Source organism: Homo sapiens, chromosome 12 (assembly GCF_000001405.40).
Source record: "Homo sapiens chromosome 12, GRCh38.p14 Primary Assembly".
NCBI lineage: Eukaryota > Metazoa > Chordata > Mammalia > Primates > Hominidae > Homo > Homo sapiens.
Window position 1 is genome coordinate 111,329,019 of NC_000012.12, and position 27,292 is coordinate 111,356,310.

Below are 27,292 nucleotides of genomic sequence, written 5' to 3' on the forward strand. Positions count from 1 at the left end.
ACTCTCTCTCTCCCCCTGCCTCTCTCACCATCTCTCTCCCCCTCTGTTTGCTCTGTCTCTTCCTCCCTGACCCTCCCTGTCCCTCCAGTGCTCTCTTTTCATCTCTCTTGCACCATCCTTATCTCTCCAGGAGAGAGAGATTTCCCAGGATCTGGAACTTTCTGTAGTAAAATAAGGAAAGTCGCGGGCAGACTGGGATGGGTTGGTCACTCTGCTCTCTCTCCTGTCCCCAGCTGCCCACAGCCCTGTCTGGCACCCCACCCACAAGCCCAGCAAGGCAAGAAGACCCTGCCTCTCCCTGTCGTCGCCTCCCTCTCCAAATAACCCAGTTGTTCACATGTGACTCCCCCAGCCCTGTAATTAGCACAGTCTTCCTGATAGAGATAATTTCTGAATCTTTCCATCACTTCGTCAGAAGCGATTCTCAGTCAGAGGAGTCAGAAAGGCGGGGTTCTCCCTGGGGGAGTGGGATTGGGGGGTGGCTGTGTTCTTTCCTGCCAATCATCTCCATGTCATCCTGTTCGCTTCGCTTCTTGGCCCTCTAGGTTGGGACATGGGTGCAGATAGTTTTCCAAGAGGGAGATGCCTTCAAAGACCCTCAGTTTTTTGTGTTTTTTGTTTGTTTGTTTGTTTTCGAGGTGGAGTCTTGTTCTTTCACCTAGGCTGGAGTGCAGTGGCGCAATCCCGGCTCACTGCGACCTCTGCCTCCCAGGTTCAACCAATTCTCCTGCCTCAGCCTCCAGAGTAGCTGGGGCTACAGGTGTGTGCAAACACACCTGGCTAATTTTTTGTATTTTTAGTAGAGATGGGGTTTCACCATGTTGGCCAGGCTGGTCTCGAACCCCTGACCTCAGGTGATCCACCCGCGTTGGCCTTCCAAAGTGCAGGGATTACAGGCGTGAGCCACCATGCCCGGCCCAAAGACCGTCAGTTTTCCAGCTGGCCCCAGCCCCTCTCCTGCTGCCGACAGTGGGCAGACACCTAGGACAGACTCTCACTTTCCCAGACTGGCCCTCCCACACCAACATGGCATCAGTGTTGGTAACAGTGAGCCTGGAACATGCCCACGTCAGCCTTGGCATCACATGGATGCTACCTGAATGGCCAGGATCAGCTCACTTGGGGCTGGGGGCACAGTAGACTTCTTGAGACCTCACGGTCACAAAGGGCCATGATGCTGCTACTTCGAACTCGGGGGCTTCACCTTGCCCTCTTCAGGAGTACTCAGGGATCCTGGCTGAAATTACTCCATAGGCATCTGCCCAGAGCCCCTGCCCCACCCCCAGGCTCTGGGGACTCACCTGTGACTAACTTGTAGTCCTTGCCTTCAAGGGGCTCACAGTTGGTAGATGAGAGGACAGTGTTGGGCATAACCCAACCCCAGCTCAAGTCCTGACTTTGCCATTTATTGCTGTGTGATCTTGGACACGTTGTCTAACCTCTCTGAACCTCGGTTTCCTCACCCATAAAATGGGATGACATAGCACTTACCTCTTAGAGGTGTCATGAGGGTCACTTGAGATCATGAGCATTGGCCAGCCACAGTGACCCATGCCTGTAATCCCAACACTTTGGGAGGCCGAGGCAGGAGGATGACTTGAGCCCAGGAGTTTGATACCAGCCTGGGCCACATAGTGAAACCCTATCTCTATTTAAAAATACATATACATATATATATATATATATATATATATATATATATATATATATATATATATATATATATATATATAAAGAGAGAGGGATCATAGGCATAAAGCACATAATACTACACTGGGCATGTAGTAAGTACTCAATAAAGGGAATTTATTAACATCATCATCATTGTCATCAGTAAGGAAGAGATCTGGCCCAAGCAAGAAATTATAGCAAACTGTGACAATATATATTCAAGGTGCTATTAGACCCCAAAAGTCTAATAGACCTCAGGGAAGGGACATTTAGGACTGGATCTTGAGGAATGCATAGGAGTTCAAGATTAGAAGGAAAGTCCTCAGGATGGCAAGACCAGCCTGAGCAAAGACATAGGGGCTTAGAGAGGAGCCTAGATGTTTGTGAAGGGGAGTGAGGGAAATGCTGTAGCTCCAGTTGGCAGGGACAAGGGAGTTCAGAGCCTTAATCACCAAGACAAGGTGATAGACATTTCTTGCACAAGGGGCAATGGGGAGCCATTGATGATTCTGGAGCATAGGAGTGGTCTGATCCGAGTGACCAACTCACCCACGACAGAGAAGGAAGGAACCCATCCTGGGCTCAGGATGTCTCTTCTGAAAGTAAAGCCGTTGCTCCCTTTTCTTCCAGCTGTCATACATTTTAATGGTTATTTTAACAAGTTTCCAGCAGGTGGCAGTTGAATGCCTCAAGGAAGAGGCATCTTTTTCTAATGTGCTGGGATTAGGTGTGGCCAGTGCTGGGATTCCTAGACCCCACACCATGCTTGCCAACCCATTAGGGGTGCCTCCCTGGGGATGCTCCCACCTTTCCTGGTTTCTCAGGAGGCTCAGCTCACACTGGGACTCCCATGGGTGCCTCTAATGCCCCAGGAGGTGGAGGTGGTAGAGGAGGTGGAGGTGGACCCTTGCCCCACGTTATCTCATGGAGGTCTCTCGATGGCCCCAAGTAGTATGTATAATGCTACGTGTCTTATGGCCCCATTTAACAGATGGAAGGACGGAGGCTTGGCAAAGTCATCCACCCGAGATCACAAGCCCCAGATATCTTTCAAATCATTTTTCCAATATATAGTCACACAAAATGTCTTTTGAAAAATGAAAAATGGGCCCGGCATGGTAGTTCAAGCCTGTAATCCCAGTACTTTGGGGGCGCCGAGGAGGGTGGATCACTTGAGGTCAGGAATTCAAGACCAGCCTGGCCAATATGGCGAAACCCCATCTCTACTAACAATACAAAAGTTAGCCGGGTGTGGTGGCAAACGCTTGTAATCCCAGCTATGGGGGAGGCTGAGGCAGGAGAATCACTTGAACCCAGGAGGCTAGGTTGCAGTGCGCCAAGATCATGCCACTGCACTCCAGCCTGGGCGACAGAGTGAGTGAGACTCCATCTCCAAAAAAAAAGAAAAATGAAAAATGTAGTTTAAAAATCTGTCTACCTTTTTTTTTTTTTTTTTTTTTGGAAACAGAGTCTTGCTCTATTGCCCAGGCTGGAGTGCAGTGGTGTGATCTCGGCTCTCTGCGAGCTCCGCCTCCCAGGTTCAAGCGATTCTGCTGCCTCAGCCTCCCGAGTAGCTGGGATTACAGGCATGTGCCACCATGCCCAGCTAATTTTTGTATTTTTTAGTAGAGACGGGGTTTCACCATTTGGCCAGGCTGGTCTCCAACTCCTGACCTTAGGTGATCCTCCCACCTTGGCCTCCCAAATTGCTGGGATTATGGGCATGAGCCACTGCACCCGGCCCCAATCTAGCTTTTTAATGTGGCATTGCACCATGGACATCTTTTCATTACATTTTCTTTCATTGCCTCGGAAGAGCCCACTGCAGGGATCCCCCATATTTTATTCAGCCAATCTCCTGTGGTTGAACTTGTAGATCATTGCTGGATCATTGCTGACTTCTTTAGTTGTTGCCGTTTATTTAACTTTTCGTTTTGAGGTAACTTCTAATTTACAGAAAAATTGAAACAGTAGAACAGCAAACTCCCTGCACTGTACCCAGTTTGAACAGTTATTAATTTTGCCATAATCGTGCTCTTTCTCTGCCATTTGAGGAATTCATTGACATCTTGTCCCTTTAGCCCTAAATGCTTCAACAAGTGCTTTCCAAAAACAAGAAATTTTACAGTGGTAAAATACTGGCATGTATCCCACCATCTATATTCAGGTTTCTTCAGTTGTCCCAATAATATCCTTTATGAGCTATATAAATTTTTAGATACAATATATAAATCTTGGCCAGGTGCTGTGGCTCACGCCTGCAATACCAGCACTTTGGGAGGCTAAGGCAGGTAGATCACTTGAGGTCAGGAGTTTGAGACCAGCCTGGCCAACATGGTGGAACCCCGTCTCTACTAAGAATACAAAAAATTAGCCGGGTGTGGTGGCATGCACCTATAATCCCAGTGACTTAGGAGGCTGAGGCACAAGAATCTCTTGAACCCGTGAGGTGGAGGTTGCAGTGAGCCAAGATCATGCCACTGCACTTCAGCCTGGGTGAAGTTTTTTGAGACAGAGTGAAACTCTTGTCTCAAAAAAAGAAAAGTGAGCCAGGCATGATGATGCACACCTGTGGTCCGAGCTGCTTGGGAGGCTAAGGTGGAAGGATCACTTGAGCCCAGGAGGTCGAGGTTGCAGTGAGTTATCACCAAGCCACTGCACTCCATCCTGGGCAACACAGCAAGACCCTGTCTCAAAATGAATTAATTAAATAAAATATGTAAATTTCTTTTCCCTGTGCAGGATGAGATTCAAGATCACTTGTGTTTAGTTTTCATGTTTTGATTTCGACAGTTCTGCCTTTCTTTGTTTTCCAGTGTTGCCCTTTCTGAAGAGTAGAGGCTGTTATTTCCTGGACAGTCTGAGTTTGGTTGCCTGATGTTCCCTTGAAATCAGATTCGGGCTGTGTACTTGGGGCTGGGAATATCACAGAAGTGATGCCATGTCCTTCTCAGGCCATCCTCTCAGGAGGCCCATGTTGCTGACTTGCCCTGTGATTGGTGATAGTAACTTGGATCATTGGTTAAGATGGTATCCACCAGTGCCTGTAATCCCAGCTAGTCAGGAGGCTGACGCAGGAGAATCGCTTGAACCCGGGAAAGAGGTTGCAGTGAGCCGAGATCGCACCACTGCACTCCAGCCTGGGTGACAGAGAGAGTCCAACCAGGTCTCTGTACTGTAAAGTGGCTACTTTTCCCTTTGTAATTACTAAGCATCGGCCAGGTGTGGTGGCTCATGTCTGTAATCCCAGCACTTTGGGAGGCTGAGGCGGGTGGATCATGAGGTCAGGAGATTGAGACCATCCTGGCTAACATGGTGAAACCCCGTCTCTACTAAAGATACAAAAAATTAGCAGGGCGTAGTGGCGCATGCCTGTAGTCCCAGCTACTTGGGAGGCTGAGGCAGGAGAATCGCTTGAACCCGGGAGGCGGAGGTTGCAGTGAGCCGAGATCACACCACTGCACTCCAGCCTAGGCAACAGAGCGAGACTCCGTCTTAAAAAAAAAAAAAAAATTGCTAAGCATCATGTGGGGAGATACTTGGAGACTTTGTAGAAATCCCAGTCCAGTCCTCATCAAACTTTCATCCACTAGTTTTAGCATCCAGGGTGGTCCCTACCTGAGCGATTATTACTACAGTGGTTGCAAAATGGGTGTTTGGCAACTCTTGGCTGTAAGAAGCAAGCCTCCCGAAAGTGGATGTGTCTGTGCCAGATTATAGTAACCACCTTCTCTTTCTCTGTGGCCCACAGCCAGTCCCACAGAACCAAGGTCCTCACCATCCCCACCCCCCAGCCCCACAGAGCCTGAGAAGAGCTCCCAGGAGCCGTTGAGCCTGTCCCTGGAGAGCAGCAAGGAGAACCAGCAGCCAGAGGGCCGCTCCAGCTCCTCGTTGAGCGGGAAGATGTACTCAGGCAGCCAGGCCCCAGGGGGCATCCAGGAGATCGTGGCCATGTCCCCCGAGCTGGACACGTACTCCATCACCAAGAGGGTGAAGGAGGTCCTCACAGACAACAATCTAGGTACGGAGCGGGTGGGAATCGGAGAGGCTGCCTCCCACCTGGGTTGGCTCCTACTTGCCTTGAAAAGGTGTCTGGAGCTGGGACCCAGTGGCTCATACCTGTAATTCCAGTGCTTTGGGAGGCCAGGGAGGGAGGATCGCTTGAGGCCAGGAGTTTGAGGCCAACCTGGGCAGCATAGCAAGATCTCATATCTTAAAAAAGCTTTTTAAAATTAGCTGAAAACTCCATGCATACAAACTTCACACGTGTTGGTGCATGCCTGTAGTCCTAGCAACTCAGGAGCCTGAGGCAGGAGAATCGCGTGAGCCCAGGAGTTCAAGGCTGCAGTGAGCTATGATCATGCCACTGCATGCCAGCCTGGGCAACAGAGCAAGACCTTGTCTATAAAATAAATTAATGGCTGTGCATGGTGGCTCACACCTGTAATCCCAGCATTTTGGGAGGCCCAGGCAGGTGGATCATCTGAGGTCAGCAGTTCGAGACCAGCCTGGCCAACATGGTGAAACCTCGTCTCTACTAAAAATACAAAAAAATTAACCAGGCGTGGTGGCACATGCCTGTAGTCCCAGCTACTTGGGAGGCTGAGGCAGGAGAATCGCTTGAACCTGGGAGGCAGAGGTTGCAGTGAGCCGAGATCACACCACTGCACTCTAGCCAAGGCGACAGAGCGAGACCTCATCTCAAAAAAAAAATCAGTCAATCAGTAAAATAAAAAACAAGCTGGGCCCGGTGCCTCACGCCTGTAACCTCAGCACTTTGGGAGGCCAAGGCAGGCGAATCACCTCAGGTCAGGAGTTCCAGATCAGCCTGGCCAACATGGTGAAACCCCATCTCTACTAAAAATACAAAAAGTAGCCGGGTGTGGTGGCATGCACTTGGAATCCCAGCAACTCAGGAGGCTGAGGAGAATCGTTTGAATCCAGGAGGTGGAGGTTGCAGTGAGCCGAGATTGTACCACTGCACTCCAGCCTGGGCAACACAGTGAGACTCCATCTCCAAAAAAATAAAAAATAAAAAAGCTTCCTAAAATTAGCTGCAAACTTCATGCAAACAAACTTCACACATTGTGGTGAATGCCTATAGTCCTCAGGAAGCTGAGGCAGGAGGCCTGCACGAGCCCAGGAATTCAAGGCTGCAGTGAGCTATGATCATGCCATTGCACTCCAGCCTGGACGACAGAGGAAGACCTTGTCTCTAAAAAAGTTAAATTAAAAAAAAAAAAAGACAAAAGTGCCCACGGTGAGATCCCAGGGCACTGGAGTCAGCCCCAGGGCATCCAGGACCCTGTGTGAGGCATCTGGCTCTGACCTGGGTCTGGGATAGGACAAAGTGAATGCAGGTCTGAGAGGACCTGGAATTCTCAGCCCACGGCTTTAAAAACTTCCTTCCAGGAAGACGTGGAGAACCCCAGTCACTGCGGAACTCCAGCTCAGTCCTCACCCGGTGCTGAAGTCTTTGCCCTCTTGGGCCACAGTGGAAAAATCTCTTCTAGGGCTCTTTCCCTTTTTGGGACACAAATTCCTCTGAGTCTTAAATGCGGGTGATGCCCCCCTACCAGAGGGATGTATGCAAACCCCAACATTTTCACTACAATTCCTGTTATAAAAATAAGACATATTCATTGTTTTAAGGTATACCGAAAAGTACAGGAAAAAAAAAGTTACTAAAAAAGTAAATAAATCCCTCCCCATTGGCCTCTCAGACACTTCAGTGTTGTGTGTGTGTGTGTGTGTGTGTGTGTGTGTGTGTTTAAGATGGAGTCTCCTGTCACCCAGGCCCCAGGCTGGAGTGCAGTCGTACGATCTCAGCTCACTGCAACCTCCGCCTCCCAGGTTCAAGTGATTCTCCTGCCTCAGCCACCCTAGTAGCAGGGATTACAGGCCTGAGCCACCACTCCTGGCTAATTTTTTTATTTTTAGTAGAGACAGAGTTTCACCATGCTGGCCAGACTGGTCACGAACTCTTGACCTCAAGTGATCCTCCCGCCTCATCCTCCCAAAATGCAGGGGTTACAGGTGTGAGCCACCGTGCCCAGCCCACACTTCAGTTTTTTAATGTCTCTTTGACACTTTCTGAACACATATAAGAACATATATACACTTAATTTCCTCTCCTTTTTTTTCTGTGTAGACGAAATGATACAAATATTGCGTTGCAACTTGCTTTTGAAAAATGAACACTAGGCTGGGTGTAGTGGCTCACACCTGTAATCCCAGCACTTTGGGAGGCCGAGGCGGGAGGACTGTTGGAGGGCATGAGTTCCAGACCAGCCTGGGCAACACGGCGAAACCCCGTCTCTACAAAAAATAGAAAAATTAACTGGGCATGGTAGTGTGTGCCTATAGTCCCAGCCACTCGGGAGGATAAGGCAGGAGGATGGCTTGAGCCCAGGAGACAGAGGTTGCAAGGAGCCAAGATCACACCACTGCAGTCCAGCCTGGGTGATAGAGCCAAACTTTGTCCCCAAAAAAATGAAAAATAAAAATACAAAAATTAGCCAGGTGTGGTGGCTTAAGCCTGTGCTCTCAGCTACTTGGGAGGCTGAGGTGGGAGGATCACTTGAACCTGGGAGGCAGAGGTTATAGTGAGCTGAGATCACACCACTGCACTCCAGCCTAGGTGATAGAGTGAGACCCTGTCTCAAAAAAAAAAAAAAAAGAAAAGAAAAATGAACACTATTTTGTGGGCACCCTTCCACCCACGTTAGAATAATTCTATTACCCGCATTCTTTTTCACCACTGGAGAGTGTTTCAGGCCATGGATGCGCCACAGTTTTTTACCCAACTGATGGGCATTTTGGCTTTTTCCACTTTCCTGCTGCCTCTAAAAATAAGTCTGTGTGCATCTGTGTGAACTTGGGCAAGTGCAGCTATCCCAGGCAGTGGAACTGCTTGCTCCGAAGCTGTGCACATTTAAAACTGGGATGGAATCTGTCAAATTATCCTCCAACACGGTGATACAAATTTGTGTGTATGATGTTGGCAGACAATTTCAGGGATCTCCTAGGAGTAAAGAACCTCTTAAATTAAAAAAGCACTTTTGGGCCAGGCCCAGTGGCTCACGCCTGTAATTGCAGCACTTTGGGAGGCCAAGGCAGATGGATCACCTGAGGTCAGGAGTTTGAAACCAGCCTGGCCAACATGGGAAACCCCATCTCTACTAAAAATACAAAAATTAGCTGGGTGTGGTAGTACGTGCCTGTAATCCCAGCTACTCGGGAGGCTGAGGCAGGAGAATTGCTTGAACCTGGGAGGCAGAGGCTGCAGGGAGCCAAGATCATGCCACTACGCTCAGCCTGGGCAATAGAGTGAAACTCTGTCTCAAAAAAAGAAAAAAAAAAAAAGCTCTTTTGTTGGTTGCTGCCTCGTCCTGCCCCCAAATCTCTTTTACAGACAGACCCCCCTCGGCTTCACATCAGGTGTGGGTCCTCCGCCGTCTCTGGCCCTCCCTTCGGAGTCAGTGGAGATAGCCTCGAGGCTCTCCCCTGTGTCTCTGGCCTATTCCATGTCTCTCCTGGGAGTAGGCTTCTCTGCCCAGCCTCGGGTAACAGATTGCTCCCCTCCCCTATCCCCAGGGCAGCGGCTGTTTGGGGAAAGCATCCTGGGTCTGACACAGGGCTCCGTGTCTGACCTGCTGTCCCGGCCCAAACCCTGGCACAAGCTGAGCCTGAAGGGGCGGGAGCCTTTTGTCCGCATGCAGCTGTGGCTCAATGACCCCCATAACGTGGAGAAGCTGAGGGATATGAAGAAGCTGGAGAAGAAAGGTAAGACTTGGGCAGAGGATGGGCCCCAGCACTGGGTCTCAGATTTTCCCCAGAACCATATCTAGCTGTAACCCACATAAACCCAGGGCTCCCATGGTCCAGTCTCAGCCTACTATGGGACTGCATGAAATAGCAACCTTGAAAAACAATGTAACAATGTGATTGAAAGCAGTGAAGATATTTACAGCCTGTCGCAGTGGCAGGGCATGGGTAGTCCTGGCTGCTTGGGAGGCTAAGACAGGAGGATCACTTGGGAGGCTAAGGCTTGCAGATCACTTGGGAGGCTAAGGCAGGAGGATTGCTTGAGGATCACTTGGGAGGCTAAGGCAGGAGGATCGTTCAAGGCTGCAATGTGCTATGATCAAAGCTGTGAATAGCCACTGCACTCCAGCCTGTGCAGTGCAGTAAGACCCCATCTCCAATTTTTAAAAAAGTTGGTAAATATTTACTACCTCTCCCATGAAAAGCCAATACTCTGCCAGGTGCAGTGGCTCACGCCTGTAATCTCAGCACTTTGGGAGGCTGAGGCGGGCAGATCACCTGAGGTCGGGAGTTCAAGACCAATTTGGCCAATATGGCAAAACCCTGTCTCTACTAAAAATAAAAAATTAGCTGGGCATGGTGGTGCACACCTGTAATCGCAGCTACTTGGGAGGCTGAGGCAGGAGAATCACTTGAACCTAGGAGGTGGAGGTTGCGGTGAGCTGAGATCACGCCACTGCACTCCACCCTGGGCGACAGAACGACTCTGTCTCAAAAAAAAAAAGAAAGAAACAAAAGGAAACCTAACACCCCATCTCTTGTTGTCCTTTCACACCTCTGAAGCTACACCAAAGTCTGTTGCCAGCCCCAACTGTCTATTTCCCAAAACTCTGTGTACCTCCCTCCCTCCTCTGCCTCAGCCCCCTGTTTTGTAGATCAGCCCTTGGCCCATTACCCAGATTCTACATAACAAAGGACAGGACCAGGAACCGTCTCTTGTAGGGCTGGGCAAGGAGATTGCAAGTTCTCACATTGTCTGACATTATATCCTGATAAGATAAGCTGGCATTGTCTACAGCCATACCACCCGGAATGCTGATCTCAGAAGCTAAGCCGAGTCAGGCCTGGTTAGTATTTGGATGGAAGATAAGCTGGCATTGAGCTGGGCACCCAGTCTCATGCTATGCATCAAGGATTCCTCTATATTTCCAAAGGTTCAAAGTCCATTGGAAGATAAGATAGGAGCAGTTGAAGTTGCCATCCAGGTCGTGAGGGCAGGTCGTGTGATGACCCAGGGACACGCCAGACTGTGGAGAGCACCTAGGGCTGGGCCATCATCATCAGACAATGCTGTGGTTGAGAACTTGACCTTCTACCTCCTTGCCGTGTGACAACCTCAAGCTAGTTACTGAAAATAAGAGAGCTGGCTGCTCTCTATTTCTGAAAACAAGAGAGCTGGCTCAATGTGGTGGCTCACACCTGTAATCCTAGCACTTTGGGAGGCCAAGGTGGATGGATCACTTGAGGCCAGAAGTTCAAGAGCAGCCTGGCCAACATGGTGAAACCCCATCTGTATTAAAAATACAAAAATTAGCTGGGCATGGTGATGCATGCCTGTAATCCTAGCTACCTGGGAGGCTGAGGCAGGAGAACCGCTTGAACCTGGGAGGTGGAGGTTGCAGTGAGCCAAGAGGATCGTGCCACTGCACTCCAACCTGGGCGACAGAGCGAGACTCCATCTAAAAAAAAATGCATTTTCAGAGCCACAAAGCATTGCTGTGAGGATTAAGTAAGACCCTCATACCTTCTTTCATTCTGAAGTGGGCTTTTTTCTCCCCAACATCTTCATGATCTGGGGTCAAGATGCACCATGCAGTCAGTAAGTCATTTAAGTTACTGTCCCTACCTATTGCCCACTGAAGGCTGTTCAGAAATTCAGGGATGCTTCTGACAATCTAGAGGATATTGTAGGCTAGATGTGGCGGCTCATACCTGTAATCTCAGCACTTTGGAAGGCCAAGGTGGGAGGATTGCTTGAGGCCAAGAGTTTGAGACCAGCCTGGGCAACAGAGTGAGATTCTAATTCTTATGTAAAAAATAAAGTTTCCCCTTCAAAGACTTTCCTCCCCATTTAATTAGGAAAATAGTAACTTCTCTTAGAAGCAAAATTTATTCAAAGACCTGTGCTAACATTCTTAAATATCTGCTAGCCGTGATAAAGACATCAATGTACTTTACGTTCTTAGCTCCCACGATTTAGCCTAAATATTTGCCCTGGCATGCTTATAGTGGTCCAAGCAAGCATTAGGTCATAGCCTGTTCCTCTTCCTTATTTAAGGGGGTTTTTACCTTTCTCAACTTTTTCCACAAGTTACTTCCTCCTTCCTTTGTTCTCCTCTGCCTTTACCTCTTTTAAAAAGTTCTAAGTTGCTAGCCAGTCAGGACAAACACAGCATGCGAAGTCCTGTTCCAGCCAGTGGAAACCGGACACAGCAGTAGGGTGGAAGCATCAGGTTATAAATGACCCTGTCTCCTTTGTTCGGTGTACTCTCGTGGCAAAACTGCTGGCGAGCGTACCCTTTCTACAGAAAGTATAAAAATGGCCTCACTGAGTAAATTAAATTTATATTCAAGTGCTATTTCTTTACGGCACCAGGGAACAAGCATTTCAAACACTCTACAAAACGATGAACCAGGCATGGTGGCGTGCACCTGTAGTCCCACCTACTCAGGAGGCTGAGGCAGGAGGATTGCTTGAGCCCAGGAGTTCAAGGTTGCAATGACTTGTGATTGTGCCACTGCATTCCAACCTGGGTGACAGAGAGAGACCCCATCTCTACAAAAAAAATTAAAAATTAGCCAGGGGTGGTGGTTCACACCTGTAATCCCAGCTACTTGGGAGGCTGAGGCAGGAGGATTGCCTGAGCCTAGTTGGTTGAAGCTACAGTGAGCCATGACTGCACCGCTGTACTCCAGGCTGGGTGACAGCGTGAGACCTTGTCTCTACAAAAACAGAGAGAATACTGTAGAGCACCCTGTTTCAAGTGCTTCCTATGCGTGAGGAATGCTCCTGAGTCTTCGCTCATGCCAGGGCTCCCGGGCGGGCGAGGTTAGGCTAGCATCTTGTGGCGGGGGATTGGGGGTTGGGAGATGCAGAAGGAGAGTGAGGAGGGAGAAAGGCTGGGGGGCGGGCCTCTAAGCTTAGGGCATGATGGCCTCCGAGTGGGCCTGACAGATGCACTCCCACCATGGAACTCCTGCTGGCCAGGAACTTTTGGGATGGGGACACCACCTCTCAGCCCTCCCTCTCTTCCTGGCCCCAGCCTACCTGAAACGTCGCTATGGCCTCATCAGCACCGGCTCAGACAGTGAGTCCCCGGCCACCCGCTCAGAGTGCCCCAGCCCCTGCCTGCAGCCCCAGGACCTGAGCCTCCTGCAGATCAAGAAGCCCCGGGTGGTGCTGGCACCCGAGGAGAAGGAGGCACTGCGGAAGGCCTATCAGCTGGAACCCTACCCCTCGCAGCAGACCATCGAGCTCCTCTCCTTCCAGCTCAACCTCAAGACCAACACCGTCATCAACTGGTTCCACAACTACAGGTGGGACTATGGGGGCGTACCCACAGGCGGGTGGCAGAATCCAGGTGGGACCCCTTCCCCATCCCAGGGCCTGGAGGGAGCCCCACATGGCCTCTGGGAGATGGAAGACCCCATCACATAGGCACTTAGATATAGAACACAGGCCCAAGTGCAGTGGTTCATGCCTGTAATCCCAGCACTTTGGGAGGCCAAGGTGGGAGGATCACTTGAGCCCAGGAGTTTGAGACCAGCCCTGGCAACATAGGGAGACCTCGTCTCTACAAAAAAAACTACAAAAATTAGTTGTGTGCGGTGGCATACACCTGTAGTCCCAGCTACTTGGGAGGCCGAAGTGAGAGGGTCACTTAAGCCCAGGAGGCGGAGGCTGCAGTGAGCCAAAATCATACCACTGCACTCCAGCCGGGGCGACAGAGACTCCATCTCAAAAAAAAAAAAAATTTAAAACACAGGCAAATGTGGAAGAAATCCCAGCTCCATCACTTTCAGCTGTGGAGCCTTCTTCACTTCCCTGAGCCTCAGTCTTCTAACCTGTAAAATGGGGTGGACAGTAGCAGGATCTACTTCATAGAGTTGCACAGAGGATTTGATAGACTAACATAGTTACATAAAATACCTAGCGTGTAGGCCAGGCGCGGTGGCTCACACCTGTAATCCCAACACTTTGGGAGGCCGAGGTGGGCAGATCACCTGAGGTCAGGAGTTCAAGATCAGCCTGGGAAACATAATGAAACCCCATTTCTTTGAAACATACAAAAATTAGCTGGACGTGGTGGTGCATGCCTATAGTGTCAACTACTTGGGAGGCTGAGGCGGGAGACTCATTTGAACCCAGGAGGCAGAGGTTGCAGTGAGCCGAGATTGTGCCACTGTACTCCAGCCTGGGCAACAGAGTGAGACTATCTCAAAAAAAAAAAAAAAAAAAAAAAATCCAGCACATAGTATGTGGTGGGTATTGATATGATTATTGTCATTATTTTTATTATTATTTCACCCTGTTTGCCTTGCGTCTGCCTCAAAGAAGGGACAGGGAAGGGTATTTGGGGGTACAGGCCTGAGGAACCCTGACTATTCATTGAGCCTCAGGGTGGATCCCTGATTTGGGGCTCCTGGCCCCTCCTACCCCTGAAACCGAAAGAAAAACCCCCTGGTATCCTCTTCAGGCTCCACCACCTCAGAGAGTGGGTGATTCCTACTTCAATGGCTGCTTCTTTCCATAGCTCTTCCCACTCTTGACTCCCTGGTCTCACAAGTCACTGGCCTGAAGTAGGTTGAGCTTCCTAGGAGTTTTAGTCCCAGGGCTGGCTCTGAGGAGACCCCTGTAAAGAACACTTGGGGGGATTTCAAGGACCATCTCTGAGGAACATCCCCCACCACACCCCTGCCAAGCTTCCTGAGCAGGAAAAGTCTCTGGTGCCCACATGGTACCAGAGAAGAAAATCCACTCATCCATTCCAGGGGGAGAGAATGTCTCTTGATCCCCAAGGAATCAAGGAAAGAGGAGATTGGTGGGAGGAGCAACTCAGCATCTCCTCTCTCCTGGGCACCAGGGTCCTATAGACCTGAGTCCATACCCTCTCTCAGTCCCCAATCCCCCCACAAGTCATTTTACTTCTCCACGTCTCACCCTTATTTTACAGATGAGGAACCTAATACCTATCCCACAATGCTTGATTGTAGATCAAATGAAATAACTCTGGGTATAAACACATTATAAAATATGGTTTTGACCGGGCGCAGTGGCTCACACCTGTAATCGCAGCACTTTGGGAGGCCAAGGCAGGCGGATCACCTGAGGTCAGGAGCTCAAGACCAGCCTGGCCAAAATGATGAAACCCCATCTCTACTAAAAATACAAAAGTTAGCCAGGCAGGGGCTTGTAATTCCAGCTACTCAGGAGGCTGAGACACGAGAATCACTTGAACCCAGGAGGTGGAGGTTGCTTTGAGCCGAGATCACACCACTGCACTCCAGCCTGGGTGACAGAGTGAGACTCTGTCTCAAACAGATAAATAAATAAAATAAAATATGGTTTATCATCTGGCTCAGAGCAGAGCCTGCCAAATAACAAATGACATAGGTCCTTAAAGCCTGCTCATTTCCTTCCCTCCCTGGGGGATATGGGGACATCTTCTCCTCTCTGATTCCCCACAGGAACTGAGCACTCCGTTATTATCCAACATATTCATTCAACAAACATTTCTAATGTATGCATAGTGAACCAATCCCCGCCCTTAAGGATCTTACAGTCATAAAACAGAACATTTCACTATAATCTAATAAATGCTGTGAAACAGGAAGGAACAAGGGGCCAAGGGAAAAGGGAATTCTGCCTGGGGAGGACTTTACAGAAGTGGTATTTGAGATGGGTTTTGAGGGATGAATAGGAGTTTGCACAAAGGAGAAGAGAGAATTCCACTCTCAAAAGAACTATCAAAGGGTTATAATTACAGAAGAACACATTATTTCATTTGGTAAATGTTTACTGAGCATCTACTCTGTACCAGACGCCACAGAAAACAAGACAAAGTCCCTCCCCATCGAAGCTCTTCCCACTGGAGGGAGCTGAGGGAGGTGGGGGAGAGCTCTGGAAGGTGGGCAAGGTCACCTTTTTGGAGGGATTGGAGGGGAGGGTACGGACTAGGTGACCCCTCACAGTTCCTCCAGGCCCAGGATCCTGGGATGGGGCCCCACAGGACCTGAGCAGGGAGGCAGGGGCAAGAAAATATAAGCCAGACTGCTAGGTTCAGAGCCTTGAGACCATGCCAGTTCCTGTGCCCTCTCAGCCTGGTCTCCTTTATCAGTGCAAATCAGACTAGTGTATCATAATGAGATTATTATATTAGGTTGGTGCAAAAGTAATTGCAGTTTTTGCCACTTTTGTTTCTTTTTTTGTTTAGTAGAGATGGGGTTTTGCCATGTTGGCCAGGGTAGTCTAGAACTCCTGACCTCAAGTGATCCACCTGCCTTGGCCTCCCAAAGTGCTGGTATTACAGGCATGAGCCACCACGCCCAGCTGGTTTTTGCCATTTTTTAAAAAATGTTTTTTGATCCATTTTAAAGGATTTGCCATTTTTTAAAAAAATGGTTTTGCCATTAAAATAAAAAGTCACAAAAGGCCGGGCGCAGTGACTCACGCCTGTAATCCCAGCACTTTGGGAGGCCAAGGCAGGCAGATCACGAAGTCAAGAGATCGAGACCATCCTGGCCAACGTGGTGAAACCCTGTCTCTACTAAAAATACAAAAATTAGCATGGTGACGTGCACCTGTAGTCCCAGCTACTCCCGAGGCTGAGTCAGGAGAATCACTTGAACCCAGGAGGCGGAGGTTGCAGTGAGCCGAGATCGTGCCCCCACTGCACTCCAGCCTGGCAACAAAGTGAGACTCCATCTCAAAAAAAAAAAAAAAAAGGCCGGGCACAGTGGCTCACACCTGTAATCCCAGCACTTTGGGAGGCCAAGGCGGGTGGGTCACGAGGTCAGGAGATCGAGACCATCCTGGCTAACATGGTAAAATGCCTTCTCTACTAAAAAACAAAAAATTAGCCAGGCGTGGTGGCGGGCGCCTGTAGTCCCAGCTACTCGGGAGGCTGAGGCAGGAGAATGGCGTAAACCCGGGAGCTTGCGGTGAGCCAAGATCGCGCCACTGCACTCCAGCGTGGGTGACAGAGCGAGACTCCGTCTCAAAAAAAAAAAAAAAAAGTTTCACGAAAAAGAAAAAAAAAGGCAGAAAATGCAATTACTTTTGCACCAACCTAACAGAAAATGAAATAAACAGGCTGGGTGCGGTGGCTCACACCTGTAATCCCAACACTTTGGGAGGCCGAGGCTGGTGGATTGCTTGAGGTCAGGAGTTCAAAACCAGCCTGACCAACATGGTGAAACCCCGTCTCTACTAAAAATGCAAAAATTAGCATGGTGACATGCACCTGTAGTCCCAGCTACTCAGGAGGCTGAGTCAGGAGAATCACTTGAACCCGGGAGGCAGAGGTTGCAGTGAGCCGAGATCGTGCCCCCACTGCACTCCAGCCTGGCAACAAAGTGAGACTCCATCTCAAAAAAAAAAAAAGTTACACGAAAAAGAAAAAAAAGGCAGAAAATGCAATTACTTTTGCACCAACCTAACAGAAAATGAAATAAACAGGCTGGGTGCGGTGGCTCACACCTGTAATCCCAACACTTTGGGAGGCCGAGGCTGGTGGATTGCTTGAGGTCAGGAGTTCAAAACCAGCCTGACCAACATGGTGAAACCCTGCCTCTACTAAAAATACAAAAATTAGCCTGGCATGATGGCGCCCACCAGTAATCCCAGTTGCTCGGGAAGCTGAGGCAGTAGAATAGGTTGAACCCGGGAGGCAGAGGTTGCAGTGAGCCGCGATTGCGCCACTGCACTCCAGCCTGGGCAACAGAGCGAGACTCCATCTCAAAAAAAAAAAAAAAGAAAAGAAAACCGCAAAAAGTGCTTAGCCTAGTGCCCAACACATGATAAGCGCCCATTATTATTATGTTTGTAACTATATAGTTGCTAATAGTCTATATTAGTGTACTTTATTGTTAACATAAATGGCCAGGGAGCCACAGCATTGAAGGTGCTGAGGAAACAGAAACCCCTGTTGTTCTATGACCTTGGACAAGTTACTGAAAATTTCTTGACTTCATTTGCTGTAAGAAAATAATTGGGTCCAGGCCCAGTGGCTCAAGCCTGTGATCCCAGCACTTGGGGAGGCCAAGGTGGGTGGATCACCTGAGGTCTGGAGTTCAAGTCAGCCTGGCCAACATAGCAAAACACTGTCTCTACTAAAAATACAAAAATTAGCCAGGCATTGTGGCACATGCCTATAATCCCAGCTATTCAGGAGGCTGAGGCAGGAGAATTGCTTGAACCCAGGAGGCAGAGGTTGCAGTGAGCTGAGATCGCACCACTGCACTGCAGCCTGGGTGACAGAGTGAGACTCTGTCTCAAAAAAAAGAGATAAAATTAATCATAATCATTTATTTGATTTAGCCCAATATAAACATTATTAATGAGATCTTTCACTTTGTTTTGTATTAAGCCTAAGAACCGGTGTGTATTGTACCCTTACAGCACATGTCAATGTGGACTAGCCTCATGTCAAGCACTCAAGAGCCATGTATGGCCAGTAACTGCTGTGTTGGCCAGCACAGGTCTAGATCATGAGCTTTGGGATTCAGTAGTCGTGTGTTCAAGTCTCGGTTCTGCCACTTACTAGCTGTGTGACCTGGAACAAGTCACTTAACATCTCTGAGCCTTGTTTCCTGTGAAGTGGAGATAATAATAGCGCCCACCTTGTGGCGTTGTTGAGAAGACTTAATAAGATGGTGCAAGTATGGAGGCTTAGTGCCTAGAGAGCCCCAGGGCAGTGGGTGGGACCAAAATGCCATGTATGCAGATGGAGTCCAGGGTTTGGGAGTCCCCTGTCCAGCCCCAGGCTCACCGCCGTCTCTGCCCCAGGTCCCGGATGCGCCGGGAGATGTTGGTGGAGGGGACCCAGGATGAGCCAGACCTTGATCCAAGCGGGGGTCCTGGAATCCTACCGCCAGGCCACTCCCACCCAGACCCCACCCCGCAGAGCCCTGACTCTGAGACTGAGGACCAGAAGCCAACCGTGAAGGAACTGGAGCTTCAGGAGGGCCCTGAGGAGAACAGCACACCCCTGACCACCCAGGACAAGGCCCAAGTGAGGATCAAGCAGGAACAGATGGAGGAGGATGCTGAGGAAGAGGCAGGCAGCCAGCCCCAGGACTCAGGGGAGCTGGACAAAGGCCAAGGTCCCCCCAAAGAGGAGCATCCCGACCCTCCGGGTAATGATGGACTCCCAAAAGTGGCTCCCGGGCCCCTCCTTCCAGGTGGATCCACCCCAGACTGTCCCTCACTTCATCCCCAACAGGAGAGTGAGGCCGGGGAGCGACTTCACCCGGACCCTTTAAGTTTTAAGTCAGCCTCAGAGTCCTCACGCTGCAGCCTGGAGGTGTCACTGAACTCGCCCTCGGCCGCCTCCTCACCAGGCCTCATGATGTCTGTGTCACCTGTCCCCTCCTCCTCAGCTCCCATCTCCCCATCCCCACCTGGCGCCCCCCCTGCCAAAGTGCCGAGTGCCAGCCCCACTGCTGACATGGCTGGAGCCTTGCACCCCAGTGCCAAGGTGAACCCCAACTTGCAGCGGCGGCATGAGAAGATGGCCAATCTGAACAACATCATTTACCGAGTAGAGCGGGCTGCCAATCGGGAGGAGGCCCTGGAGTGGGAGTTCTGAAGGCAGGGTGAGGGGGCAAGGGACATACCCTGGTAACTACCTTCCTTCTCGCACTTACTCTCCTCAACAGGATGGGGTAAGGGAGGGAGGAACTCAACCATCAAAATGTGGACAGCAATGTTATGCCGTTTACGTTTTTTGTTGTAATCCTAGTTCTATGAAGCTGTGTGAGCAGGTGGGTCAAATGCCATTGCCTCCACTTTTCTGCACCCCCCTGCTCCTCTTCACCCTGACCCCTCTGCAGGAGGCAGAAGCAAAATGGCACCACATATTCACCTGAAAACTCCAAACTCTTTTAGAAAAATAAATAAATATTTATAGACCTCTTTTAGATATTTTAATAAAGGATCCTTTGGAATTTATCCCAGCTGATGCTGTTTTGATATTACAGAGAGTTATAAAATCAGGATGCTGTCACAACTGTTGCGAAGTATACACTGAAGTTGTGTCGTTTTTGCCACTAGATGAGATTAAAAGAAGACAATTATTCAAAGCCATCACAAAACACTATAAGACTGACCAAAATTTAGATAACCTTTGAACCACGATTTTTTTCCACATCTGTCTGTGAGACACAGCGCAATGCTACTGCCCTTCCAGAAACTGTGCTAAAAAGAGAAAGTCCAAAAGACTCTAAACAAAAACCTCGACGCCGTTGAGGATGTGTTTCATTCTGGTGGTCTGTTTTGCAAGCTTGATAACAGAATGTCCGTGCCATTGTAAATGTTGTAGAGATGTGGGCCGTGGCCCAACCGTCCTATATGAGATGTAGCATGGTACAGAACAAACTGCTTACACAGGTCTCACTAGTTAGAAACCTGTGGGCCATGGAGGTCAGACATCCATCTTGTCCATCTATAGGCAAGAAGTGTTTCCAGATCCTTTGGAAAGGTGGGCATGGGGCAGGTGCTTGGAGAGTGGCGTTTGAGCCAGAGCGACCCCATTTCCCGTGTGAACCATAGGCACAACCCAGGAAGTTTCCCCACTTGTAGGAGTGTGGGTATTCCAGAGCAAGACTGTGGCCACCATCTTCCCCTCTTGGTGTTTTCCGAAAGTGACAGTGTTGGTCATCCCATGACCACTGAAGCTTAGTAACCAGCGCCAAAAAGTAGATTCATCAAACTAGAGACCCCAGCTCCCCTTCTCGCCATCTTCTTTCTCAAGTTGACCGTGGTGCTGTTTCTGGAAGGCATCTGCAACTCCAAGTCCATGCAGAACTCTGGAAGGCCAAGTTCATCGCAGCATGTTCACCATATCCCAGCCTCCAAATCTATCCTCCTACCTTCCAACGCATGACCTGTTGGGGAGCAGAGACTTAACCCCCAACTCAGAGGAACCCTTCCTCCAGCGTCTTTGGCATGGTTTCTAGGGTGAGAGTTCCCAATTTGGATAGAACGGCCACCATATTGGTTACTGAATCTCTCTCCCTTGTTTTTATTACGTTTCCTTTTTCAAACTGTCCATGGGAAGGCTGAATTGAGTGACTCCCCAGAATGAAGATGAGAAGGTGAATATAATCAATGCCAATGTAATGCCAGCGGGTGAGATGGCCGATGGAGGTTTCAAAGATGTAGCTAGCATTTTGAAACCATATGGGCAAAACCCGGCAACCAGAAGGGGACAGATAAGGACCGTTCCAGAAATCCCAACTCTCACACCCAGCCCAGGCTGCAGTCTCCACACCAAACAGTCAACAAAACACAAACCCTGAAGGAAAACCTTTTCCATACACCCAGGCTATGCATTGAAGAGTTTTCCACTGTATACATTTTTATCCAGATGAAGGTATTTTTATATTTTGACAATAGGAAACAGTGACCATTTTCAGAGTAATCAAATCTGGAACAAATGAAACATCTTTTAGCCACCACCACCCTGTTGCAATTAAGACAACCGTGGGGGAACACACCACTTTTTACTGTTGAAACCAACACAACGTTGAAATCCAGGCTTATACGCAGACTCCGATTCCTAGAGAACTAAATTTGGCTTTAGTGTGACGGGATTTGATTAAGCACTTAGTATAGTCTTTTGAACACGGAAATCCTGTTGTACTTAAAGCTAGCGGACCCGTGAACAACTTTGTCAGGTTCACGTCCTATAACGGTTAAAAAACACACACACACATACACAAACCGTTTCTATGAGAGATTGATGAACTTTGTTTAAAATTTTAAAAAAAGGAACACGTTCTGTAAACGAGTCGCTAAATACAGAATTGTATAATAATTCTGGGTGTCTTGCTTCTTTGTTCTGGGGCTAGGAGTACAAACTGGAGGTCAGATCTGGCCCTCAGAGATGTTTTACAAAATGGTATTTTTTAAAACTAGTTTTTAAGGCACAATGGCTCACACCTATAATCCCAGTGCTTTGGGAGGCCAAGGTGGGAGGATTGCCTGAGCCCAGGAATTTGAGGCTGCAGTGAGCTATGATTGCCAGTGCATTCCAGCATAGACAGAGAGAGACCCTGTCTCTAAAAAAAAAAATTTAAGCCTGGTTTCTAAATTGCCAACATTGGCTGGGCATGGTGGCTCAGGCCTGTAATCCCAGAACTTTAGGAGGCCAAGGTGGGAGGATCACTTGAGGCCAGGAGTTTGAGACCATCCTGAGCAACACGGTAAGACCCTCCTCTCTAAAAAAAAAAAAAAAATGGCCAACATTTAATGGGCATGTCCCATTAAAAAGCATGATTATGAGCTTCTCCAGGAAATAGTCAAGATCTTGGCCACACTGGGCCCACGTTCCAATGTGACAACAGCCAGATGAGGGCTGGCTGCCTTTAGATGGGGCACATGCCCATGATTTGCTTCAGCCCTCAACTGTGCAACCTGCCTGGGCCTTGTGGGCATCTGGGTTGGCAAGTGTGCCTTGTGGACCAGCCTGCAGCAGAGTAGAAGCTGCTCAGACTCCAGGGCCTGGTATGAGGAGTCAAAACTGCACTCTACCCCTAAACCAGCAAGTGAACCAGCTTGCAAGCTGTGCCCACCTCTGTACAGTGTGTGAGTGGTTAGTGCCCCCAGGCCCGATGGGAAAATGCCAAGAGGGGCTTCCTGTTGACCAACATAGCATCACACCTTTCCTAGTTGTATAACTGGGGCCTCAGTTTCCTCATCTGCAAAATGGGGGTATCACAGCAGCCAACTCAGAAGGTCATTGTGAATAATATACATGCATATGCATATGCGTAAAACTGCACGGCAGTAAGAACTCGATAACTAAATACAAAAATTAGCCAAGCATGGTGGTGGGCACCTGTAGTCCCAGCTACTCAGGAGGCTGAGGCACGAGAATTGCTTAAACCCATGAGGCAGAGGCTGTAGTGAGGCAGAGGCTGTAGTGAGCCATTGCGCCACTGCATTCCAGCCTGGGTGGGCAGAGTGAGACTTTTTTTTTTTTTTTTTTTTTTTTGAGACGGAGTCTCGCTTTGTCGCCTAGGCTGGAGTGCAGTGGCGAGATCTCAGCTCACTGCAAGCTCCGCCTCCCGGGTTCACGCCATTCTCCTGCCTCAGCCTCCCGAGTAGCTGGGACTACAGGCGCCCGCCACCACCGCCGGCTAATTTTTTGTATTTTGTTTAGTAGAGATGGGGTTTCACCATGTTAGCCAGGATGGTCTCGATCTCCTGACCTCGTGATCCACCCGCCTCGGCCTCCCAAAGTGCTGGGATTACAGGTGTGAGCCACCACGCCCGGCCAAGTGAGACTATTAAAAAAAAAAATGCCAGGCGCAGTGGCTCACATCTGTAATCCCAGCACTTTGGGAGGCCAAGGCAGGTGGATCATGAGGTCAGGAGTTCGAGACCAGCCTGACCAACATGGTGAAACCCCATGTCTACTAAAAATACAAAAATTAGCTGGGCGTGGTGGTGTGCACCTATAATCCCAGCTACTCAGGAGGCTGAGACAGGAGAATCGCTTGAACCCAGGAGGTGGAGGTTACAGTGAGCCAAGATCGTGCCACTGCACTCTAGCCTGGGCGACAGAGCAAGACTCCATCTCAAAGGAAAAAAAGAAAAAACTCGGTAACTATTAGTTATTGTTATTGTAAGTAGGGGGTAGGTTCTTCCAGCCTATGATAGTGAGTCTCTGTGCATCAGGCTGCAGGAGGGGTTTTTTTGTGACCTATGATGTCAGGAGAGTCCCTGAAGTGGCACTAAACATTACTCACCCATGAGCCCAGCCATGTGGCTGTCCCAAGACAGCCCTTTTCCCTTTGTCTGGAAATCTTCCAATTGCCCCAGTTTTTCCGTATATCCTTGCAGGGAGCGTTAAACAATTACCCCCGTCTCGGTTAGGATAACTAATTGCTCCAAGCCCAGCAGGACAGCCCACTGGGATGCCTGGGCACCCCATCATGGAGTGGTGGGAGTGGGAGGTGGCAGGTCAGGGCCCAGGCCCCCATCAGCCCTGGAGCTCCTGAGTCAGCCCATTGCATGTGACATTTCAGGCGAATGGATGGCCTGTCCTCAGAGCTGGGGAGGAAGATGGGAGTCAAGAGCCAAATGGCCTGGTTTCAACTCTGGCTCCGCCTCTTAGAGCTGTGTGGCCTTGGGCAAATGCTTAAACTACACAGTGCCTCAGTTTCCCAGCCATAAAGTGGAGGCGGTAGGAATGGCATCTTGCTCACAAGGTGGTTGTAAAGATTCAAATTAAACAAAACCAAAGAATACCCTTTCAGACCCTCAGTTCATTCACAGCTCTTGAGAAGGTTGGAGGTCAGAAACCCCCAGGGTGTGGCCCCCTGTGGGACCAGGCTGGCAGGAGTGGAGTCTGGCACCACGCAAGCCACCTGAGAACCCGAGGGAGCAGGTGCCTGTGGGCTTCAGGGACTGAAGCATGTTCTGGGTCATCAGCTTTGGTGTTGACAGGGTGTCTGCCACCACTGCCCTGGAGTGAAACAGGCAGCAACAGCGCAGCAAAATGTGGAATTCTGCACTGGGGGGCTGCGGGAAAGTGGAGGGGCTGGAGAGCAACGAGAAGGCCAGGACAGCCCCCAGGAGGAGGCGGGTTTGGATCGGGGCACAGAGGAGAGTGGAGAGCCCAGCTGGGGGCCATTGGGCAACTGTTCATCAGCTGCTAAGTATTTATTGAGTACCTACTGTCTGCTCAATGCTATAAGCATTTATTGAGTACATATTGTGTGCTCAGAGTTGGGTGGAGGAAACACAGGAGGCCATGAAGGTACAAGTAGTGGGGTCCAGGAAGGCTTCCTGGAGGACGGGGCATCCCAACTGATGCCTGAAAGATGACAAGAGTTAGAAAGGAGAAGTAGAGGAGGAGTGCAGAAGGAACCATAGGCAGGAGGTGGAACTGGGATAAGAACCCGGGAGGAAGAAGCCCAAAGGAGGCTGGAAGTTGAGGTAGGGCAGTGGGGAGGAAGAGGGATGGAGCCAAATTGTGAAGCACCTTGGGGCATGGCAGGGAATATGCCTTTCTCCTGAGGGTACTGGGGAGCCATGGAAGGTGTGAGGCAGGGGGTTGCTGTGGTCAGTCTAGCACTTTGAGGAGGTTAGGAGGTCCCATCTGCCTGGGTAGAAGGCACACCAGAGCCCTGAGGGCAGGCCCTGAGCCTCAGGCCTCCGTGCACTCCTCCCTCCTAGTTTAGCTCCTCCCACTGAGCAGGCAGCCCCACATCCCATCACCTCCTAGAAAATGCACAAAACCAAGCCCTCCCTAGCTGACTGGCCCTTGATGTGGTTGGTCATTCTGAAGCCCTACCTCCCCACAGCCAAGGCTTCAAGTTGTGCCGCTATGGAAACCAGGCTGCCTTTGCAGGTACCTGGGACGCTGAATGCACTCCCAATCCCAAGAGCAGGGGGCCTGGGGCAGGGAACGTCACCCAGATAGGCCAGCCAGGTGACCTTAACAATGGTGACTCCTCCCTCCAGGTCTGTTTCCCTGCCTGCACACAATGAGAGGGAGAAACAGTTAAGCTCTTTGCTGATCTGTGACCTTCTCCAGCCTCCTAGGGTATAGCTGTGAAAGTACAGGCTTTGAACTTAGCCTGGCCTGGGTTTGAATCTCCACTATCAGGTAATTCTAGAGCCCTTCCATGAAGCTTAGTTTCCTTAACTGGAAAATGGATTTGATCATCATAGCATCACTTTTACTAGTTGTCTATTACTGCATAAAAAACTATGCCAAGATTGAGTGGCTTAAAACAATAAGCATTTATCTGTCATAATCTCCATGAGTCGGGAATTTGGGGATTGTATAACTGGATGATTCTGGCTGGTAGGTCTTTCAGGAGGTTACAGTTGAGCCATCACCCAGGGCTGCAGTCATCTGAAGGCTGTTCTGAGACTAAAGGGTCTGCTTCCAAGATGGCACACTTCTATGGCCCACAAGTTGGTGCTGGCTGTGGGCTTTAGTTCTCCAGGTAGGACTCTTCACAGGGCTGCTTGAGCATCCTCACAACATGGTGGCTGACTTTCCCCGGAGTAGTCACAGCGGAGGATGTAGTGTCTTCTGTGACCTCGATTTGGAAGCCCCATTGTTGCATCCAGTGCAATCTATTGGCCACATGCGCCCACCATAACTCAGTGTGGGAAAGAACCATACCAGGATGTGAATACCAGGAAGCAGGGTCACCTGGGGCCCATCTTAGAGGCTGCCACCACACTACCTTATCATTTCTTCAGCTGTGGCCCTAGAATCCCTTGCACCCTACTCAAAATGCAGTTTCCTGGGCCCTGCCCAAACCTACTGAGCCAGGGCCCAGGAATCTGCATTTTTAAGAAGCACTCCAGGTGATTTGGACACAAACTAAGGGTTAAGCCCCACTGACTGTCATAGGTCTCAGAGAGACTTGTCATCCAGTTGGTTTTCTTCAGCCCCCTGGGTGTGCCAGCCCCTAGGATGGACACTGGCAAACAAGAGAATGACAGAATAGGAGCACAGAACAGATACTCACTGGGTGTCTTACAGTCTAGAACTGTTGGATTGAAAGAAATTATAACCCACTTAACTATGCAAATATTTATTGGGAGGATCCAGGGGAGATCTTCGAAAACCCAAAAACAGGAAGTTTAGCCAGGCTTCAATAGGTGTCGCACAGGCTATTTTGATCTTAGTTCTCTCTAAGGCCTGGCTGTTTCTCTCCCTGCCATCATGTCCCAGAAGGGTCGCTCAACCATCAGCTCTTAAGTTTAGCACTACGGATACCAAACTTAGTTCCCAGGACCCTGATTGGCTCAGCTTGTGTCTGACCAACTCTCATCCGATCAGCTGTAGGCAAGGAGGGAAGACTCAGGGGAGCTGAGAGAGGGATGGAAGCAAAGATTGGCTTCTCTGTGCCAGGCCCCAGGGAGGGACAGAGGGGAGGCCCCTTTCTTAAGGAGCTGCAGCCTAGAGGGCCTGGGTGCCCTGCCCTGGGATTTCTCAGCATCACAACTAGAGAAGCAATGACAGCTGTGCCCCTGGACCATGAAGAGAGGGTAGCAACCATGGCCCCGGCCCTCGGCTGCTCTCAGCTCCAGGCACAGGGGAACCGCAAAGGCAGCTGGCCCCTGTGTCAGGAGCAGGAAATCCTCTTGGAAAAAACAAATCTATGGGCCCGCCTTTATTTTTGTTATTATTATTGTGGTAAAATATACATAATACACATAAAGTTTGTTTTGTTTTGTTTTGTTTCGTTTTGTTTTTTGAGACGGGTCACTCTGTCACCCAGGCTGGGGTACAGTGTTGTGATCTCAGCTCACTGCAACCTCCACCTCCCAGGCTCAAGCAATCCTCCCACCTCAGCCTCCTGAGTAGCTGGGACTACAAGCATACACCACTATGCCTGGCTAATCTTTGTGTTTTTTGTAGAGACGGGGTTTTGCCATGTTGCCCGGGCTGGTCTCAAGCTCCTGGGCTCAAGCAATCTGCCCACCTCGGCCTCCCAAAGTGCTGGGATTACAGGCATGAGCCACCACGCCCGGCCATAACTTTGCCATCTTAAGCATTTTTGAGTGTACAGTTCAATGGTGTCAAGAACATTTATAACA

The 27,292-nt window shown here is 49.7% G+C and overlaps 1 protein-coding gene and 1 pseudogene across 7 annotated transcripts in view, besides 3 other annotated features; both read left to right on the forward strand.

Annotated features, from left to right (window-relative positions):
• Positions 1-21,536, forward strand: part of CUX2 (cut like homeobox 2) — a 316,390-nt gene extending 294,854 nt beyond the window's left edge. For all 7 annotated transcript variants that reach the window (XM_017019081.2, NM_015267.4, XM_011538069.3 and 4 more), the window contains 4 exons: positions 5,423-5,692; positions 9,268-9,456; positions 12,762-13,035; positions 18,506-21,536. In XM_017019081.2, the coding sequence (XP_016874570.1) occupies positions 5,423-5,692; positions 9,268-9,456; positions 12,762-13,035; positions 18,506-19,307 (1,535 nt within the window). In that variant the 3' untranslated portion in view covers positions 19,308-21,536. The remainder of the gene's footprint in view (positions 1-5,422; positions 5,693-9,267; positions 9,457-12,761; positions 13,036-18,505) is intronic.
• Positions 10,509-10,603, forward strand: RNA5SP373 (RNA, 5S ribosomal pseudogene 373; annotated as a pseudogene).
• Positions 24,464-24,964: an enhancer, noted in NCBI's record as "H3K4me1 hESC enhancer chr12:111791286-111791786 (GRCh37/hg19 assembly coordinates)". NCBI's record gives its function as "activates a minimal SCP1, AML or CMV promoter by ChIP-STARR-seq in primed H9 embryonic stem cells {active_cell/tissue: H9 hESC(primed)}" and the evidence as "EXISTENCE:reporter gene assay evidence [ECO:0000049][PMID:30033119]".
• Positions 24,464-25,093: a biological region, named in NCBI's record as "H3K4me1 hESC enhancer GRCh37_chr12:111791286-111791786".
• Positions 24,893-25,093: a silencer, noted in NCBI's record as "peak1952 fragment used in MPRA reporter construct". NCBI's record gives its function as "represses an SCP1 promoter by STARR-seq MPRAs in K562 erythroleukemia cells {active_cell/tissue: K562}" and the evidence as "EXISTENCE:reporter gene assay evidence [ECO:0000049][PMID:32103011]".